General features: G+C 38.6%; 1 protein-coding gene across 40 annotated transcripts in view; it reads left to right on the top strand.

The window, feature by feature from the left end:
* Positions 1-21,267, top strand: part of CLASP2 (cytoplasmic linker associated protein 2) — a 222,010-nt gene that overhangs the window by 32,213 nt on the left and 168,530 nt on the right. For all 40 annotated transcript variants that reach the window (NM_001375713.1, NM_001400406.1, NM_001375705.1 and 37 more), the window contains one exon: positions 1,586-1,683. In NM_001375713.1, coding sequence (NP_001362642.1) covers positions 1,586-1,683 — 98 coding nt within the window. The remainder of the gene's footprint in view (positions 1-1,585; positions 1,684-21,267) is intronic.

The raw sequence follows: 21,267 nt of genomic DNA, 5'->3' as shown, positions 1-21,267 counted from the left end.
ACATTCTTTTTTTTTCCTTTTATTATAGCAAATACAATATAAAATTTACCATTCTAGCCATTTTTAAGTGTAAGTTCAGTGGCATTACGTACATTCACATTGTTTTGCAACACCCATCACCACCATCTAGCTCCAGAACTTCTTCATCTTCCCAGACTGAAACCCTGTACCCATGAAACAGCAACTCCCCAGTCCCTGGCAGTCCCCCGTCACACCCCCGGCGCCCCCTCCCCCTCCCCAGCTGCTGGCAACCACTATTCTCCTTTCTGTCTTTGTGAATTTGACTGTTCTGTGTACCTCATAGAAGTAGAATGATAGAATATTTGTTCTTTTGTGTCTGGCTTGTTTATTTAGCATAATGTCTTCAAGGTACGTCCATCTTGTAGCATGTATCAGAATTTCCTTCCCTTCTTTTTTAGGCTGAATAATATTCCATCGTGTGTATATAGCACATTTGGTTTATCCATTTATCTGTGGATGGACATTTTGGTTGTTTCCACATTTGGCTGTTGTGAATAATGCTGTTGTGAATATTAGTGTAAAAAGTATCTGTTTGAGTTCAGGCCACATTCTTGAAATGCAGTCTTAATACAGGAAAATACATTAACCGTGATCATAATTTGTATTAATATAATTATTGGCAGTTGTTTACATAATCTTACTACAGATAGGATTTTTTTTTTTTTTTTTTTTTTTTTTGAGACGGAGTTTCGCTCTTGTTGCCCAAGCTGGAGAGCAATGGCGTGATCCTGGCTCACTGCAACCTCCACCTCCCTGGTTCAAGCGATTCTCCTGCCTCGGCCTCTCAAGTAGCTGGGATTACAGGGATGTGCCACCACGCTGGGCTAATTTTTTGTATTTTTAGTAGAAATGGGGTTTCACCGTGGTAGCCAGGCTGGTCTCAAACTCCTGACCTCAGGTGAACCGCCAGCCTTGGTCTCCCAACATGCTGCGATTACAGGCATGAGCCACCGTGCCGGGCCTACAAATAGATTTATTATTATTATTATTATTTATTTATTTATTTATTTATTTATTTTGAGATGGAGTCTTGCTCTGTCGCCCAGCCTGGAGGGCAGTGGCACGATCTTGGCTCACTGCAACCTCCACCTCCCTGGTTCAAGCAATTCCCCTGCCTCAGCCTCCTGAGTAGCTGGGATTACAGGCACATGCCACCATGCCCAGCTAATGTTTTTGTATTTTTCGTAGAGGCGGGGTTTCACCATGTTGGCCAGACTGGTCTCAAACTCCTGACATCAGGCAATCCACCCTCCTTGGCCTCCCAAAGTGCTGGGATTACAGGCATGAGCCACCGTGCCTGGCCACAAATAGATTTTTTAAAAGCTTAATAAGTAACTTTTATTGACAAGTTTCTCAAATTTCTGTAAAATCATCTTTTAGTAGTTTTTTCTAGAAGTATCTTGGCAGGCCCTCTTGTTTTTTTACTGATGACAAGCCATATATGCAGGGGCATTAAAATCCACTTAGAGCTTCAAGTTGGTCTGTTAGTGTAATGTTACCTTGAGATGAAGTATTTTATTGTATCATATATAAGTTTATTAAAAAGTTCTGAATTCTTTGACAGGTGAGAGATGCTGCAATATTGGCTATAGTGGAGATTTATAGACATGTGGGAGAAAAAGTGAGGATGGATCTTTATAAGAGAGGAATTCCCCCTGCTAGGTAAGTCTTGCTAAATTTGGTTCTTTTTTTTTTTTTCACCACTAGTTTTAAAAGTTTTCATTTTATTTGTGTATTTCAATGTATTTTTTATTTATTTATTTATTTATTTTTTTGAGATGGAGTCTTGCTCTTGTTGCCCAGGCTGGAGTGCAATGGCGCGATCTTGGCTCACCACAACCTCTGACTCCTGGGTTCAAGTGATTCTTCTGCCTCAGCCTCCCGAGTAGCTGGGATTAGAGGCGCTTGCCACCATGCCCAGCTAATTTTTTGTATTTTTAGTAGAGACGGGGTTTTTCCATGTTGGTCAGGCTGGTCTCAAACTCTCAACCTCAGGTGATCCACCCACCTCAGCCTCCCCAAGTGCTGGGATTACAGGCATGAGTCACTGCACCTGGCCTATTTTAATTTTTTTTTTTTTTTTTTTTTTGAGACAGAGTCTTGCTCAGGCTGGAGTGCAGTAGCACAATCTTGGCTCACTGCAACCTCTGCATCCTGGGCTCAAGTGATTCCCCTATCTCAGCCTCCCAAGTAGCTGGGACTACAGGCATACGCCACTACACCTGGCTGATTTTTGCATTTTTAGTTGAGACGGTTTCATCATGTTGACCAGGTTGGTCTCGAACTCCTGACCTCAAGTGATCTGCCCACCTCAGCTCCCTAAAGTGCTGGGATTAGGTGAGAGCCACCGTACCCAGCCTGTGTATTTAAATAGGTTCAAATTTTTGAAATTTTTTTTGTTTTGTTTGTTTTTGAGACAGGGTCTGGCTCTGTTGCCTAGGCTGCAGTGCAGTGTTACGATCTCGGCTTACTGCAACCTCCACCTCCCGGGCTGAAGCCATCCTCTCACCTCAGCCTCCCAAGTAGCTGGGACAACAGACGTGTGCCACCACGCTTGGCTACTTTTTGTATTTTTTGTAGAGATAGGGTTTCACCATGTTGCCCAGGCTGGTCTTGAACTCCGGAGCTCAAGCAGTCCTCCCGCCTCAGTCTCCCTGGAATTATGGGCGTGAACCACTGCAGTCAGCTGAAATGTTTTAAAATTCAAAAGATACAAAAGGATATATATGTTATCACCATTTAAAAAGTTCTTAAGGTCCTGTAATATTTTTTGTCATTGTTTCATTATATATTCATTTATTATTTAGTATGTAATTATGTACCATTATCAAGTAATCATCCTTTGATACCAGGTGGTAATAGTCATTATTTGGGAGATGCTTGAGCAAGGATTTACTAAAAATATTAATTCATTCATCAAGTAAATCCTTTAAAAGTATGTACTGTTGAAAGGTACCATACAATTTATTGGGTAACAGAAACTGTATGAGAATCAGTTTTTTAAAAGCTTAATAAGTAACCAATTGTAGGGTTCTTACAATTGCAAAATGTTATACAGCCTATTTCAGCAATAACCAAAGGAAGCTGACAATCTGTCCCCACAATTAACATACAGGTAGACTGTAGCAGGGAATCTAAGCTCTTTGTTACTCAGTCTCTCACACTCAAGAACTAACCATTAAGTCCCATCTATCCTTACTTCTAGCCAAACAACTGACAATTTGTTTTTGTTTTTGTTTTTGTTTTTTAAATTAGTCACTACTCTTAAAACCTGTTCAACTAAAAAGGAAATCAAGAATATATGAGTAGTGTGGCATTAGTCAGATCACTAAAGATCCTGCTGATAATCTTCTAGTGTATCAGAAAATATTTTTCAATGGCTTTTTTTCTTTACTGCTTCTCAGTTTATATACTTTTATTAAGGATATTTGTATTAAAGTATTTCTTTTTCTTCATAATGAAATTTTGAGGGCATTCACTAAAGGAATTTTTTAAAACTTTTTATTAGGGTATTTAGCATTTCAAACAAATACTCAAGTAGGTGGAATAAAATAATGAACCTTCATTTACCTATTACTTGGTTTAAACAATTATCAGTGTGTATCCAGTTTTTTGTGTTACACCCTAGACTACTTACCCTTGTGCTGTATTATGTTGAAGCAAGTCCAAGTTATAACATTTCACTTGTAAATATTTCAATGTATTTTTAAAAGAAAAAATTTTTTGTCAGTCACAATACCATCATCACACTCTATAAAGTTTTTTTTTCATATAATTCTATAATATCAAATATGTAGTTAGGGTTCAAATTTCCAGTTGTTTCATAAATATCATAAGTGTGTGTCTTAATCTGTTTTGTGTTGCTGTAAAGGAATATCTGAGGCTGGGTAATTTATAAAGAAAAGACGTTTATTTGGCTCATGATTCAGGGGCTATACAAGAAGCACCGTGCCAGCATTTGCTAGGCTTCTGGTGAGGGCCTCTCACAGCTTCTACTCACAGTGGAAAGTGATGAGGAGGTGGTGTTTGCAGAGATCACCTGGCCAGAGAGGAAGCTAGAGAACAAGAGTCAGGCTCTTTTTAACTACCAGCTCTCCTAGGAACTAACCTAGGGAGAACTCATTCACTCTTCCCTGCCCCAGGGAGGACAGGACATTAATCTATTCATGAAGGATCCACACCCATGACCCAAACACCTCCCATTAGGTCTCACCTCCAACGTTAGAGATCAGATTTCAGCTTGAGGCTTGGAGGGATCAAATTCAAACCATAGTAGTATGTATGTGCTTTTAACAGTTTGTTGAACCAGGGTCCAAATAAAGTCTATATGTTATATTATGTTTTGTTAAGTCTTTTAAAACCTTTATGTACTCCAACACTCTTTTATCCTTGTGTTTTATTTGTTGAATAAGCTGACAGTTTATTCTGTGAAGTTTCCCCCATTCTGGAGTTTGCCAATTCTTTTCCTGTGGTATATAGTTTAACATGTTATTTTCTCTTCATATCCTGTAATTGTGTAGTTAAATCTAGAGATTTCAACAGATATTTGGTGGGGGGATGTCAGGAAGAGCAAGGCGACTTTACGGGTGGTGATGTGTTCTAGTATGATGTGTTTCATTATATTTGATTGTCTCTCTTAGCAGCAGTTGTTTGCCAATACCAATTATTTGCTGGTAATAAGATTGTCTCAGAAATAAGCTTTTTGTTGACTTGATCATCTATTCATTTTCTACTTCCAGGGCTAACAATTCCATTTGAGTAAATTCTACATCATTTTATGGATGAAAGAAAGAAGTGATGTTAACATATGTATTTGTGTGTGTGCGTGTGTATGTATACATTATATCTTTTCTAAATTTATATTGAAATTACTTTATTCTTTTTTTTTTTTTTTTTGAGATGGAGTCTCGCTCTGTCACCCAGGCTGGAGTGCAGTGGCGCGATCTCGGCTCACTGCAACCTCCGCCTCCCGGGTTCAAGCAATTCTCCTGCCTCAGCCTCCTGAGTAGCTGGGATTACAGGCACATGCCACCACGCCCAGCTAATTTTTGTATTCTTAGTAGAGACGGGGTTTCGCCATGTTGGTCAGGCTGTTCTCAAACTCCTGACCTCGTGATCCGCCTGCCTCGGCCTCCCAAAGTGCTGGGATTACAGGTGTGAGCCACTGCACCTAGCTTTATTATTCTTAAATAGATTTTAATTTAATTTTTTTGAGACAAGGTCTTACTCCTGCCCAGGCTGGAATGCAGTGGCGTGACCACGGTTCACTGCAGCCTCAACCTCTTGGCCCCAAGCAATCCTCCCACTTCAGCCTCCTGAGTAGCTGGGACTACAGATGCACACCACAACACCTGGCTAATTTTTAAAATTTTTTTGTAGAGACAGGGTCTCCCTATGTTGTCCAGGCTGGTCTTTAACTTCTGGGCTCAAGCAGTTCTCCTGCCTCAGCCTCCCAAAGTTCTGGGATTATAGGCATGAACCACCATGCCTGGCTAGACTTTATTTTTAGAGCACTTTTAGGTTCACAGTAAAATTAAGTGAAGGTACAGAGATTTCCTGTATACTCTGTCGCTATACATGCCTAGCCTCTCCCATTATCAATATTCCTCAACAGAGTGGTACATTTGTTATAATTGATGAACCTACATTGACATATCATTATCACCCAAAGATTATAGTTTGCACTAGGGGTGACCCTTGGTGTTATATATTTCATGGGTTTGGACAGATGTACAATGACATGTGTCCGCTATTGTAGTATCATACAGAATAGTTTTACTGCCTTAAAAATCCGTAATGTTTCATCTGTTTATCCCTCCCTCTGGCCTAATCCTTGGCAACATTCATCTTTTTACTGTCTCCATATAGTTACATTCATACAATATGTAGCTTTTTCAAATTGTCTTCTTTCACTTCATAATACATATTTTAGGTTTTCTCCATAACTTTTCATGGCTTGATAGCTCATTTCTTTTTAGGGTTGAAAACTTTTCCATTATCTGGAAGTACCACAGTTTTTCCATTCTACTGTGGGACATCTAATTTGCTTCCAAGTTTTGGCAATTATGAACAAAACTGCTAAAAATGTGAGTTTGCAGGCTTTGTGTGGACATACATTTTTGTCTCCTTTGGGTAAATACCAAAGAATGCAATCACTGTGTTGCATGGTAAGAGTATGTTTAATTTTGTAAGAAGTTGCCAGACTGTCTTCCAAAGTGCTTGTACCATTTTGTATTCCCACCAGCAGTGAAGGAGAGTTCCTATTGCTTCACATTCTCGCCAGGATTTGATCTTGTCAGTGTTTTGGGTTTTGGCCATTTTAACAGGTATTTAGTGGTATCATGTTTTAATTTTGCATTTCCCTGATGACCTATGATTTGGAGTACCTTTTTGTATGCTTGTTTGCCATCTGTATATCTTCTCTGGTGAGATGTTTGTTCAGATCTTTTGCCCTTATTTAAAATGGATTGTTAACTTCCTTATTGTTGAGTTTTAAGAGTTCTTTTTTTATTTTGGGAAGCAGTCCTTTAACAGATGTGTCTTTTGCAAATATTTTCTCCCACTCTGTGGCTTGTCTTCTCATTCTCTTGATGGTGTCTTTCAAAGAGAAGAAAGTTTTAATTTTAATGAAGTTCAACTTATCAGTTATTTCTTTCATGGTTCATGCTTTTGGTGTTGTTTTAAAAAGTCATCACCAAACCAAAGGTCAATTAGATTTTCTCCTATGTTATCTTCTAATAGTTTCATAGTTTTGCTTTTTATATTTAGTTCTGTGATCCATTTGAATTAATTTTTGGGAAGGATGTAGGTCTGTATCTAGATTCATGTTTTTGTTTGTGAATGTCCAGTTGACCTAGCACAGTTTTTTGAAGAAACTATCTTTTATTCTTTATATTGACTTTGTCCCTTTTCCAAAGATCACTTTTATCATATTTATGTGGTTCTCTTTCTGTTCCATTGATCCATTTGTCTGTTCTTTCACTAATACTACACTGCCCGTAGTTTTGTAAGTTAGGTAGTGTCAATCTTCCAAATTTGTTCTTTTCCTTTAATAATGTGTTAGCTATTCTAGATCTTTTGCCTCTCCCTATAAATTTTAAAATTGTTTTGTTGTTATCCACAAAATAACTTGGCTGGAATATTGATTGGAATTGCATTGAATCCATAGATCAAGTTGGGAAGAACTGACATCTTGAAAATACCGAGCCATCCTATCCACGAATGTGGAATATGTCTCAATTTATTTCTTATTTTTTGGTTTCTTGCATCAGAGCTTTGTACTTTTCCTCGTAAAGTCTTACACTTATTTCGTTAGATTTATACCTTTATGTAGATCTGAGTTTTTGACCTGTATCATTTTCCTTCTCTCTAAAGAACTCCTTTTTAACATTTCTTGCACTACTGGCAACAAATTCCTTCAATCTTTTTTTGAGAAAGTCTTTATTTCTTCTTTACTTTTAAAGGATAATTTTACTGGGTATAGAATTCTAGATTGGTAGAAAAGAAAACTAAAAAGAATTGTAGATTAGTGTGTTTTTTCTGTCAACACTTTAAATATTTCACTTCACTTTCTTCTTGCTTGCACAAGGAGAAGTGGGATGTAGTTTTTATCTTTGCTCCTCTATAGGCAGTGTTTTTTTCCCCCTCTGGTTACTTTGAGAATATTTTTCTTTATTTTTGATTTACTATAGTTTGAATATGATATGTGTAAGTGTAGTTCTTTTGTCATTTGTTCTGCTTGGTGTTCTCTGAGCTTCCTGGATCTGCGGTTTGGTATCTGGCATTAATTTGGGAAATTCTCCATGATTATTGTTTCAGATACTTTTTTTCAAGTATTCTTTCTGTTCTTTCTTGTTCTATTATCCCCATTAACATGTATGTTCCATCTTTTATAGATGCCCCACAGTTCTTGGATAGTCTCTTCTGTTTTGTTTTCCAATCTCTTTTTTCTTTGCTTTTTCAGTTTTGGAGAATTCTATTGAGATTTCCTCAAGCTCAGAGATACATCAGTGTGCAGTCTAGTAATAAGCCCAATAAGGACATTCTTTAATTTTATTAAGTTTTTCATCTCCAGCTTTTTTTTTTTTTTTTGGTACTTTGTTAGAATTTCTTTCTCTCTTCTTACCTATCTACTTTTTTTTTTCCTTTTTGGCATGCTATCTGCCTCATTCTTTGGAGCCCTTAGCTATTAATCATAGTTTTTGTTTTTAAACTTTAGATAAATTTTTTATTTTATAAAATAGGAATAATTTTTTTTTTTCAGGCAGCAAGCCCCACGTGTGTTAGACATTTTTTTTTATTTTTTATTTTTTATTATTATTATACTTTAAGTTTTAGGGTACATGTGCACTGTGCAGGTTAGTTACATATGTATACATGTGACATGCTGGTGTGCTGCACCCACTAACTCGTCATCTAGCATTAGGTATATCTCCCAATGCTATCCCTCCCCCCTCCCCCCACCCCACAACAGTCCCCAGAGTGTGATGTTCCCCTTCCTGTGTCCATGTGTTCTCATCGTTCAATTCCCATCTATGAGTGAGAATACGCGGTGTTTGGTTTTTTGTTCTTGTGATAGTTTACTGAGAATGATGATTTCCAACTTCATCCATGTCCCTACAAAGGACATGAACTCATCATTTTTTATGGCTGCATAGTATTCCATGGTGTATATGTGCCACATTTTCTTAATCCAGTCTATCATTGTTGGACATTTGGGTTGGTTCCAAGTCTTTGCTATTGTGAATAATGCCGCAATAAACATAAATGTGCATGTGTCTTTATAGCAGCATGATTTATAGTCCTTTGGGTATATACCCAGTAATGGGATGGCTGGGTCAAATGGTATTTCTAGTTGTAGATCCCTGAGGAATCGCCACACTGACTTCCACAATGGTTGAACTAGTTTACAGTCCCACCAACAGTGTAAAAGTGTTCCTATTTCTCCACATCCTCTCCAGCACCTGTTGTTTCCTGACTTTTTAATGATTGCCATTCTAACTGGTGTGAGATGATATCTCATTGTAGTTTTGATTTGCATTTCTCTGATGACCAGTGATGGTGAGCATTTTTTCATGTGTTTTTTGGCTGCATAAATGGCTTCTTTTGAGAAGTGTCTGTTCATATCCTTCGCCCACTTTTTGATGGGGTTGTTTGTTTTTTCCTTGTAAATTTGTTCAAGTTCATTGTAGATTCTAGATATTAGCCCTTTGTCAGATGAGTAGGTTGCGAAAATTTTCTCCCATTTTGTAGGTTGCCTGTTCACTCTGATGGTAGTTTCTTTTGCTGTGCAGAAGCTCTTTAGTCTAATTAGATCCCATTTGTCAATTTCGGCTTTTGTTGCCATAGTTTTTGGTGTTTTAGACATGAAGTCCTTGCCCATGCCTATGTCCTGAATGGTAATGCCTAGGTTTTCTTCTAGGGTTTTTATGGTTTTAGGTCTAACGTTTAAGTCTTTAATCCATCTTGAATTGATTTTTGTATAAGGTGTAAGGAAGGGATCCAGTTTCAGCTTTCTCCATATGGCTAGCCAGTTTTCCCAGCACCGTTTATTAAATAGGGAATCCTTTCCCCATTGCTTGTTTTTCTCAGGTTTGTCAAAGATCAGATAGTTGTAGATATGCGGCGTTATTTCTGAGGCGTCTGCTAGCCAGTTTTCCCAGCACCATTTATTAAATAGGGAATCCTTTCCCCATTGCTTGTTTTTCTCAGGTTTGTCAAAGATCAGATAGTTGTAGATATGCGGCGTTATTTCTGAGGGCTCTGTTCTGTTCCATTGATCTATATCTCTGTTTTGGTACCAGTACCATGCTGTTTTGGTTACTGTAGCCTTGTAGTATAGTTTGAAGTCAGGTAGCATGATGCCTCCAGCTTTGTTCTTTTGGCTTAGGATTGACTTGGCAATGCGGGCTCTTTTTGGTTCCATATGAACTTTAAAGTAGTTTTTTCCAAGTCTGTGAAGAAAGTCATTGGTAGCTTGATGGGGATGGCATTGAATCTATAAATTACCTTGGGCAGTATGGCCATTTTCACGATATTGATTCTTCCTACCCATGAGCATGGAATGTTCTTCCATTTGTTTGTATCCTCTTTAATTTCATTGAGCAGTGGTTTGTAGTTCTCCTTGAAGAGGTCCTTCACGTCCCTTGTAAGGTGGATTCCTAGGTATTTTATTCTCTTGGAAGCAATTGTGAATGGGAGTTCACTCATGATTTGGCTGTTTGTCTGTTATTGGTATATAAGAATGCTTGTGATTTTTGTACATTGATTTTGTATCCTGAGACTTTGCTGAAGTTGCTTATCAACTTAAGGAGATTTTGGGCTGAGACAATGGGGTTTTCTAGATATACAATCATGTCATCTGCAAACAGGGACAATTTGACTTCCCCTTTTCCTAATTGAATACCCTTTATTTCCTTCTCCTGCCTAATTGCCCTGGCCAGAACTTCCAACACTATGTTGAATAGGAGTGGTGAGAGAGGGCATCCCTGTCTTGTGCCAGTTTTCAAAGGGAATGCTTCCAGTTTTTGCCCATTCAGTATGATATTGGCTGTGGGTTTGTCATAGATAGCTCTTATTATTTTGAGATATGTCCCATCAATACCTAATTTATTGAGAGTTTTTAGCATGAAGGTTGTTGAATTTTGTCAAAGGCCTTTTCTGCATCTATTGAGATAATCATGTAGTTTTTGTCTTTGGTTCTGTTTATATGCTGGAATACATTTATTGATTTGCATATATTGAACCAGCCTTGCATCCCAGGGATGAAGCCCACTTGATCATGGTGGATAAGCTTTTTGATGTGCTGCTGGATTCGGTTTGCCAGTATTTTATTGAGGATTTTTGCATCAATGTTCATCAAGGATATTGGTCTAAAGTTCTCTTTTTTGGTTGTGTCTCTGCGCGGCTTTGGTATCAGGATGATGCTGGCCTCATAAAATGAGTTAGGGAGGATTCCCTCTTTTTCTATTGATTGGAATAGTTTCAGAAGGAATGGTACCAGCTCCTCCTTGTACCTCTGGTAGAATTCGGCTGTGAATGCATCTGGTCCTGGACCCTTTTTGGTTGGTAAGCTATTGATTATTGCCACAATTTCAGCTCCTGTTATTGGTCTATTCAGAGATTCAACTTCTTCCTGGTTTAGTCTTGGGAGGGTGTATGTGTCCAGGAATTTATCCATTTCTTCTAGATTTTCTAGTTTATTTGCGTAGAGGTGTTTGTAGTATGCTCTGATGGTAGTTTGTATTTCTGTGGGATCGGTGGTGATATCCCCTTTATCATTTTTTATTGGGTCTATTTGATTCTTCTCTCTTTTTTTCTTTATTAGTCTTGCTAGCAGTCTTATCAATTTTGTTAATCCTTTCAAAAAACCAGCTCCTGGATTTATTAATTTTTTGAAGGGTTTTTTGTGTCTCTATTTCCTTCAGTTTTGCTCTGATTTTAGTTATTTCTTGCCTTCTGCTAGCTTTTGAATGTGTTTGCTCTTGCTTTTCTAGTTCTTTTAATTGTGATGTTAGGGTGTCAATTTTGGATCTTTCCTGCTTTCTCTCGTGGGCATTTATATTTCCCTCTACACACTGCTTTGAATGTGTCCCAGAGATTCTGGTATGTTGTGTCTTTGTTCTCGTTGGTTTCAAAGAACATCTTCATTTCTGCCTTCATTTCTTTATGTACCCAGTAGTCATTCAGGAGCAGGTTGTTCAGTTTCCATGTAGTTGAGTGGTTTTGAGTGAGTTTCTTAATGCTGAGTTCTAGTTTGATTGCACTGTGGTCTGAGAGATAGTTTGTTATAATTTCTGTTCTTTTACATTTGCTGAGGAGTGCTTTACTTCCAACTATGTGGTCAATTTTGGAATAGGTGTTGTGTTGTGCTGAAAAGAATGTATATTCTGTTGATTTGGGGTGGAGAGTTCTGTAGCTGTCTATTAGGTCCGCTTGGTGCAGAGCTGAATTCAATTCCTGGGTATCCTTGTTGACTTTCTGTCTCGTTGATCTGTCTAATGTTGACAGTGGGGTGTTAAAGTCTCCCATTATTAATATGTGGGAGTCTAAGTCTCTTTGTAGGTCACTCAGGACTTTCTTTATGAATCTGGGTGCTCCTGTATTGGGTGCATATATATTTAGGATAGTTAGCTCTTCTTGTTGAATTGATCCCTTTACCATTATGTAATGGCCTTCTTTGTCTCTTTTGATCTTTGTTGGTTTAAAGTCTGTTTCATCAGAGACTAGGATTGCAACCCCTGCCATTTTTTGTTTTCCGTTTGCTTGGTAGATCTTCCTCCATCCTTTTATTTTGAGCCTATGTGTGTCTGTGCACGTGAGATGGGTTTCCTGAATACAGCACACTGATGGGTCTTGAGTCTTTATCCAGTTTGCCAGTCTGTGTCTTTTAATTGGAGCATTTAGTCCATTTACATTTAAAGTTAATATTGTTATGTGTGAATTTGATCCTGTCATTATGATGTTAGCTGGTTATTTTGCTCGTTAGTTGATGCAGTTTCTTCCTAGTCTTGATGGTCTTTACATTTTGGCATGATTTTGCAGTGGCTGGTACTGGTTGTTCCTTTCCATGTTTAGTGCTTCCTTCAGGAGCTCTTTTAGGGCAGGCCTGGTGGTGACAAAATCTCTCAGCATTTGCTTGTCTGTAAAGTATTTTATTTCTCCTTCACTTCTGAAGCTTAGTTTGGCTGGATATGAAATTCTGGGTTGAAAATTCTTTTCTTTAAGAATGTTGAATATTGGCCCCCACTCTCTTCTGGCTTGTAGAGTTTCTGCCGAGACATCTGCTGTTAGTCTGTTGGGCTTCCCTTAGTGGGTAACCCGACCTTTCTCTCTGGCTGCCCTTAACATTTTTTCCTTCATTTCAACCTTGGTGAATCTGACAATTATGTGTCTTGGAGTTGCTTTTCACGAGGAGTATCTTTGTAGCGTTCTCTGTATTTCCTGAATCTGAATGTTGGCCTGCCTTGCTAGATTGGGGAAGTTCTCCTGGATAATATCCTGCAGAGTGTTTTCCAACTTGGTTCCATTCTCCCCGTCACTTTCAGGTACACCAGTCAGACGTAGATTTGGTCTTTTCACATAGTCCCATATTTCTTGGAGGCTTTGTTCATTTCTTTTTATTCTTTTTTCTCTAAACTTCCCTTCTTGCTTCATTTCATTCATTTCATCTTCCATCACTGATACCCTTTCTTCCAGTTGATCGCATCAGCTCCTGAGGCTTCTGCATTTTTCATGTAGTTCTCGAGCCTGGGCTTTCAGCTCCATCAGCTCCTTTAAGCACTTCTCTGTATTGGTTATTCTAGTTGTACATTCATCTAAATTTTTTTCAAAGTTTTTAACTTCTTTGCCTTTGGTTTGAATTTCCTCCTGTAGCTCATAATTTGATCGTCTGAAGCCTTCTTCTGTCAACTCGTCAAAGTCATTCTCCATCCAGCTTTGTTCCGTTGCTGGTGAGGAACTGCGTTCCTTTGGAGGAGGAGAGGTGCTCTGCTTTTTAGAGTTTCCAGTTCTTCTGCTCTGTTTTTTCCCCATCTTTGTGGTTTTATCTACTTTTGGTCTTTGATGATGGTGATGTACAGATGGGTTTTTGGTGTGGATGTCCTTTCTGTTTGTTCGTTTTCCTTCTAACAGACAGGACCCTCAGCTGCAGGTCTGTTGGAATTTGCTAGAGGTCCACTCCAGACCCTGTTTGCCTGGGTATCAGCAGTGGTGGCTGCAGAACAGTGGTTTTTCGTGAACCGCGAATGCTGCTGTCAGCTCGTTCCTCTGGAAGTTTTGTCTCAGAGGAGTCCCCGGCCATGTGAGGTGTCAGTCTGCCCTTACTGAGGGGTGCCTCCCAGTTAGGCTGCTCATGGGTCAGGGGTCAGGGACCCACTTGAGGAGGCAGTCTGCCCGTTCTCAGATCTCCAGCTGCCTGCTGGGAGAACCACTGCTCTCTTCAAAGCTGTCAGACAGGGACATTTAAGTCTGCAGAGGTTACTGCTGTCTTTTTGTTTGTCTGTGCCCTGCCCCCAGAGGTGGAGCCTACAGAGGCAGGCAGGCCTCCTTGAGCTGTGGTGGGCTCCACCCAGTTGGAGCTTCCCAGCTGCTTTGTTTACCTAAGCAAGCCTGGGCAATGGCGGGCACCCCTCTCCCAGCCTCGCTGCCGCCTTGCAGTTTGATCTCAGACTGCTGTGCTAGCAATCAGTGAGTCTCCGTGGGCGTAGGACCCTCCGAGCCAGGTGCAGGATATAATCTCCTGGTGCGCCATTTTTTAAGCCTGTCGGAAAAGCGCAGTATTCAGGTGGGAGTGACCCGATTTTCCAGGTGCCATCTGTCACCCCTTTCTTTGACTAGGAAAGGGAACTCCCTGACCCCTTGTGCTTCCCAAGTGAGGCAATGCCTCGCCCTGCTTTGGCTCGTGCACGGTGCGCTGTACCCACTGACCTGCGCCCACTGTCTGGCACTCCCTAGTGAGATGAACCTGGTACCTCAGATGGAAATGCAGAAATCACCTGTCTTCTGGGTCTCTCACGCTGGGAGCTGTAGACCAGAGCTGTTCCTATTCGGCCATCTTGGCTCCTCCTTAGTCATAGTTTTAAAAAAATTCCTGGTCTGGTAATTCCAACATATCTTCCATAACTGGATCTGGTTCTGTTACTTGCTCTCTCTTTTTTTTGTCTTTTATAATGCCATGTAATTTTTTTTTAATAGTTGGACATGATGTATCAGGTAAAAGGAACTACTTGAAACAGGCCTTTAGTAATGTGTTGGTAAGGTATGGGAGAGGAAGTGTTCTGTAGTCCTGTGAGTAGGTCTCTTTTAGTGAGCCTCTGTCTCTGAATTGTGAACCTCACAAATGTTTCTAAGTGTTTCCCACCCTCCTCTCACTTAGGTGGGACAGAATGGCTAGCTAGAGTGGGCTGGAATCATATATTTCCCTTTTTTTTCAGGTGGAAGGGTATAGGAGACTGGAGTTCGGGATTTCCATTTCTCCACGTGGAAAACTAGAGCAGCAGGAGATGGGTATTTTCCTAGGTCATTTAGGCTCTGATAAAACCCCAGCAGGTTAAGTCTAATTAAATAGTTTCACTTAAGGTCAGACATTGTTAAGGAGAACAGAATACACTCACATATTTCAAAATGGTTCTTTTTCGGTTCTCCCTGCTGGAAACATGATAGGATTTTGCATTGATATTCTGAAAACCAAGTTGAACTCCTGGAGGTAAAACTCAAAAAGTGTGATCTCCCTCTGCACCACCATGACTGTGTCCCCTGGAGTTTTTAACTCTCAAGAGTTGTCCACTCTGATCCTCCACCAATTTGTTAACTACAGGTCAGGTTTTCCTACCCTGGCACTGGTTTTCACAGAGGTTTCTGCTGATGGGTTATGCTCTGGTAAGTTGTGATTCTCTGTTTTCATCTCCCCATCTCTAATTTTTGGTGCGGCGGTTTGCCATGTGACCTCACTTTTCTTACAGATCTAAGAAGAGTTGTTGATTTTGTAGTTTGTTTAACTTTTTACTTGTTGTTAGGGCAGAGTAGCAACTTTCCAAGCTTCTTACATATGGAAATCAGAGGCAGGAATTACTTTTTAAAAAAATATTTTAAATGTTTATTCAGCTAGGAACTCCATACAGAAAAGTGCACGAATCATTAGTATACAAATCTATAAATTATAGCAAAGTGAATGCATGCATGTATCCACCACACAGATGAAGTAGAACATTACAACATCCCAGAAGCCACTTCAAATCCTTTTAAATGTTTACCTCTTCTCTTCCTAAAAGTAACCACAATCCTGACTTCTAACACCATAGTTTAGTTTTGCCTGTTTCTGAATTTTATATTAATAGAATCATATACTTTTTTGTGTTTGACTTCTTTCTGTTAAAATTATGTTTTTTACGTGTGTGTGTGTATATATATGTGTGCGTGTATATGTATGTGTGTGCATGTGTATGTATATATATAGATTCTTTTGGGTTGTTGGATCCAGCTACAGTTCTTTTTGATAGCCTTATAGTTTTCCATTGTATGAATAGACTACAAATCCAAACTATAGATGGATATTTGCATTGTTTTTGGTTTACGGTTTTTATGAGTATGCTGCTAATAACTTTCTTGTATATGCTTTGTGGTATACATACTAATTCATTCTTTTGGAGGCATTTAGTTGATATGGACAGTTTTCCAGAGTGGTTGTATCCCATTTGTATTATCACTGGTACTGTTTGCAAGTTTCCATTATTCTACATATTCACCATTATTTTGTATTGTTAGGCTTATTTTTACTAATTTTAGGTTTTTAGTGGGTGTAGTGTTTCATTGCAGTTGTAACATGCATTTTTCTGATTACAAATAGAGAGAAGCACCATTTAATCTGTTTATCAGCCATTTGGATGTCTTCTTTTGTGGTGTTCTTTTCAGGCCTCTTGCCAATTTTTTTTTTTTTAAATTGAGTTCTCTTTTTAAAAACTTGATTTGTAGAACTTTTTTATATGTTCTGTATACAAGCCATTGTCAATGCTATATGCTTCAAGTATCTTCTCTCACTCTGTGACTTGCTTTTGTACTTTCTTGGTGATACCTTTTGATGTACATAAGTTCTTAATTTTAATGTAGTTCTTAGTCATTTTCTTTATGAGTAGAAATTTCTGTGCCCCATTTATGAAATCTTTGCTTACCCTAATGTATGAAGACATTCTTGTATGTAATTGTCTTAACGTTTTATTCACATTTAGAGCTATAATCCACTTGGATTTGTTTGTTTGTTTGTTGGCAAATGCAATGATAAAAGACTTCAGGTAAAAATTTTTTTCGTGTGGATACTCACTTGACCCAACACCACTTATTGAAAACATCTTTCTTCATTTCTTATTTTGTTATAAATTAAGTGTGCACATATGTGCTTAGAATTTTTGCATCTATGCTCAAAATGATGACCTATAATTTTCCTTTCTTCTTGATTTATATCTTTTGTTAGTAATGTTACTTGTTAGAGGAAACTCTTTATTTGATTTTCCTCTTATCAGAATTAACTTCATAGGGGTTTTATCATATGCAGGTAGCTAATACTTTAATGTTCTTACTGAAATAGGCCAATGACTTATTACCCCTAGCCATTCTTACCATTTCTCCCTCCTCGAAGTGGGTAGTCACTTGGCAGATGAAGACTCTGAGACCCAGAGCAGTGACAGCTAGTCAGTAAGAGGTTGATGGCTTCCTGACACGCAGTCCATTGTTCTTTCTTCCATGCTGTGCTTGTGTCATTCTCCTTGGTGATGCTTCTTTAGCAGGTAGTAGGCAGTGGAGGACTCTGGGTACGTGAGCTTTGCTTTTCAAACATGCAGAGTGTTTTCTATTCTTGACGCCTATGGCCTTATTATTTTATAGGTAGTATTTCGAATCCTCAAAATAACAACACATATTAAACAGATCTTAAACTTCTGTAAGTTAAAGCGTAGATTAATTTCGGTTTACACCTTTCTTCAGACTATTGTTCCACTATTTCCCTTTTTCCACTACCATATATTCTCAAGAGTTTATACTGAATATTACATTCATTTGAAACAAGTATTCTTTTGTTATAGTGATCAAATTCTAACTTTAATGTTTAGAAGGCATAGTTTTGATTCTCAAATACTGCTCCCTTTATGGTTTCCAAATTTTCTGTTGGATATAGCCCTCTAAAGTTAAAGTTTGTTTTTGCCCACTCTTAAATTTATATCAGAACCATTCTTCTTTGTTAAAACAACTAAACTTAAGTATGGTTCATAAAGACATTAAGTCAAATAGTTTTTTGTTTTGTTTTGTTTTTTTGAGTTGGAGTCTCGCACTGTCACCTGAGCCGGAGTGCAATGGCACGATCTCAGCTCACTGCAACCTCCGTCTTCTGGGTTCAAGCGATTCTCTTGCCTCAGCCTCCCAAGTAGCTGGGATTACAGGCCCCTGCTACCACACCGGGCTAATTTTTTGTACTTTTAGTAGAGACGGGGTTTCACTGTGTTGGCCAGGCTGGTCTCAAACTCCTGACCTTGTGATTTGCCTGCTTCAGCCTCCCAAAGTGCTGGGATTACAGGTGTGGGCCACTGCGCCCAGTGAGGTCAAATAGTTTTAAAATAATAATTAAACAATTTTTTTCTATCAAATATTTTTTAAAAAGTAAGTTCTGGTGGTATGGTACTAGCATAACACTAGATATAGATCGATGGAACTATACTGAAATAAACTCATATTTTTGGTCTGTTGATTTTTGTCAGAGGTGCCAAGACCATTTAATAGAGCAGGAAAGAATAGTGTTTTCAGCAGTGGTGCTTTATAAACTGGATATCCCCAGGCAAAAGAATGAAGTTGCAACTCTTCCTCACTCCACACCCAAAAATTAACTCAAAATGGATCATACAACCAAATGTAAGAGCCAAAATAATAAAACTCTTAGAAAATACTAGGCAATGGTTTCTTAGATACAACACCAAAACACAAGCAACCAATGGAGAAAAATAGATAAATTGGATATCATCAAAATTAAAAACTTATGCTTCAAGGAACGCCATCAAGAAAGTAAAAGAAAACTCATATTATGGGAGTAAATACTTGCAAATCAAATGTCTTTTTTTTTTTTTTTTTTTTTTGAGATAGTCTCACTCTGTCACCCAGGCTGGAGTGCAGTGACACGATCTCGGCTCACTGCACCCTCCATCTCCCTTCAAGCAATTCTCCTGCCTCAGCCTACTGAGTAGCTGGGATTATAGGTGCACACAACCATACCCAGCTATGTTTTGTATTTTCAGTACAGATGGGGTTTCACCATGTTGGCCAGGCTGGTCTTTAACCTTTGACCTCAAGTGATCCGCCTGCCTCGGCCTCCTAAAGTGCTGGGATTACAGGCATGAGCCACCGTACCTGGCCAAAATCAAATATCTTCTAAGACACGTATCTTGACTGTTATAAGGGGCTCTTTACAACTCAATAGTAAAAGGACAGATAACCCAATTTTTAAAACAGACAAAATATTTGAATTTCTTCAAAAAGAATATACAGATGGCAATAGCACATAGAAAGATGTTTAACACCATTTAACCATGAGGGAAATACAGATCAAAACTATTATGCACCCCCAGGATGACGAAAATAAAAACTGATAGACAAATAAAAATGATAGACAATAACAAATATTGATGAGGATGTAGAGCAATTGGAACCCTCATACATTGCCATTGGGAATGTAAAATGGTGCAGCAACTTTGGAAACAGTTTATAATTCCTCAAAATGTCAAACATAGAATTATCATATAACCTAGTAATTCCATTCCTGGCTGTATATGCAAGTGATATGAAAACATTCCTCACAAAAACCTACACACAGGTGTTCATAACAGCATTATTTATAATAGCCAAAAAATAGAGACACCCCACATCTACATATGTCCATTACTTGGTGAATAGATAAACAAAATGTGGTAAATCCATACGATGGAATATTATTTGGTCACAACAGGGATGACTGATACATCATGCATCAACCTTGAAAACATTCATGAAAGAAGCCAGTCACAAAAGGCCACATATTGTATGATTCCATTTATATGAAATGGCCAGATATGGCAACTCATAGGCTAGATATAGTCTTTAGAGAAAGGAAGTAGATTAGTGTTTGCCTAGGACTGGAGAGATCAGGGTAAATGGGGAATGATTGCTAATGGGTATGTGGTTATTTTTTGGGGTGATGAAAATGTTCTAAAATGGATTATTTGGTTGCACAACTCTGCAGATATACTAAAAATCGTTATATTGTACAGTTTGAAGAGGTGAATTGTATGGTATTGAATTCTACCTCAATAATACTGTTATTTTAGAAAGATAAAGTCTGAGATACCTAATTGTCTCTTTCATGTTATACTTGGGATTTACTATTCTTATTCTAAACTTTTAAGTCTGGACTTTGGTTAGGGTTGCTTTTCTAATTCTGTCCTCCTTACCCTATGAGTTAGAACCTTCCTAATACTTTACTGGCCTCTATCCTTATCCTAAGTCAGAACCTTCCTAGAGCTTTGTGGGCCTCCTAAATTGTGTTTATAATCTTTTGGACAATCCAGTCTCTGTTGTATTTTTCTTCCATTGAATTTCCTAATTTCTTCCCCTGAATTACTTAAAATATCTTAGGCTCTTCTTTCTGCTCTTAAATTGTTTATTTCTTCCTTTTTTCACCAAATTATATGTATAATAATCATCTATTATAAATGCGTTTGTTTTTCTAAAATAAGTGTATAGAGTTTGATGATGGGGTTGGAGGGATTCAGTGAGGGCCACGTAGAAAATTATACTGTGTTGTTTTGTTTGCTTTAAAGATAAGTTATGAACTTATCCTTTATAAAATTTTGAACAAGTGACTAAAATATTTTTAATAAATACCAAACAAAAGTCAGATGTTAATTTTACTTGAAAGTTGGTAAAGTGAGAATCATTAGAAGGAAAGAGTGACTGAGAAGAGAGAGTAGAACAGTCATAGGAAGAGTGTATTGAGTAACTGAAGAGCTGGCAGCAAGGTTAATGCTGCGAGGCAATCATCTACTCTGTGTGTCTTTCTTAGCCCAACCCAGTCCCAAAAGACCTTTGGGTGATACCTTCTACTCTGGCCCCTTTTTCTTCTTTTCCCCTCCCCTCCTCTCTCCCATATTCGTATTATATTTGCCTACTATTTCATTTGAACCCTCTTCCACTAAAGCTGCTTACATCCAGATTCCTGTCTCCATGTATTATCTGCCTTACCTTAATTCCTTGCCAACCCACTTCTCTTTCTGAGCTTTCTGTCCTAAAGTTTTTACTCCTGTTCTTCTAATCTATAGCCAAATGTTATGCCCCTTCATGTCTTGTTCTGCTTTTTCTCAAACAGCTCTCCGAAATCCTCTCCTTTCTTTCTTTCTTTTTTTTTTTTTGAGACAAAATCTCGCTCTGTCACCCAGGCTGGAGTGTGCAGTGTCAGGATCTCGGCTCACTGCAACTTCTGTCTCCCAGGTTCAAGCGATTCTTGTGCCTCAGCCTCCCTAGTAGCTGGGACTACAAATATGTGCCACCACGCCCAGCTGATTTTTGTATTTTTGGTAGGGATGTGTGTTTTGCCATGTTGGCCAGGCTGGTCTTGAACTCCTGTGCTCAGGTGATCTGCGCTGCTTGGCCTCCCAAAGTGTTGGGATTATAGGCATGAGCCACCACGCCCAGCCTCCTTTCTGAGGTTCCAGCCTCCAATTCCAATGCTTCCTTCTA

The sequence above is a fragment of the Homo sapiens genome, chromosome 3 (assembly GCF_000001405.40).
Source record: "Homo sapiens chromosome 3, GRCh38.p14 Primary Assembly".
Lineage (NCBI taxonomy): Eukaryota > Metazoa > Chordata > Mammalia > Primates > Hominidae > Homo > Homo sapiens.
This window is presented reverse-complemented; position numbering and strand designations above follow the sequence as displayed.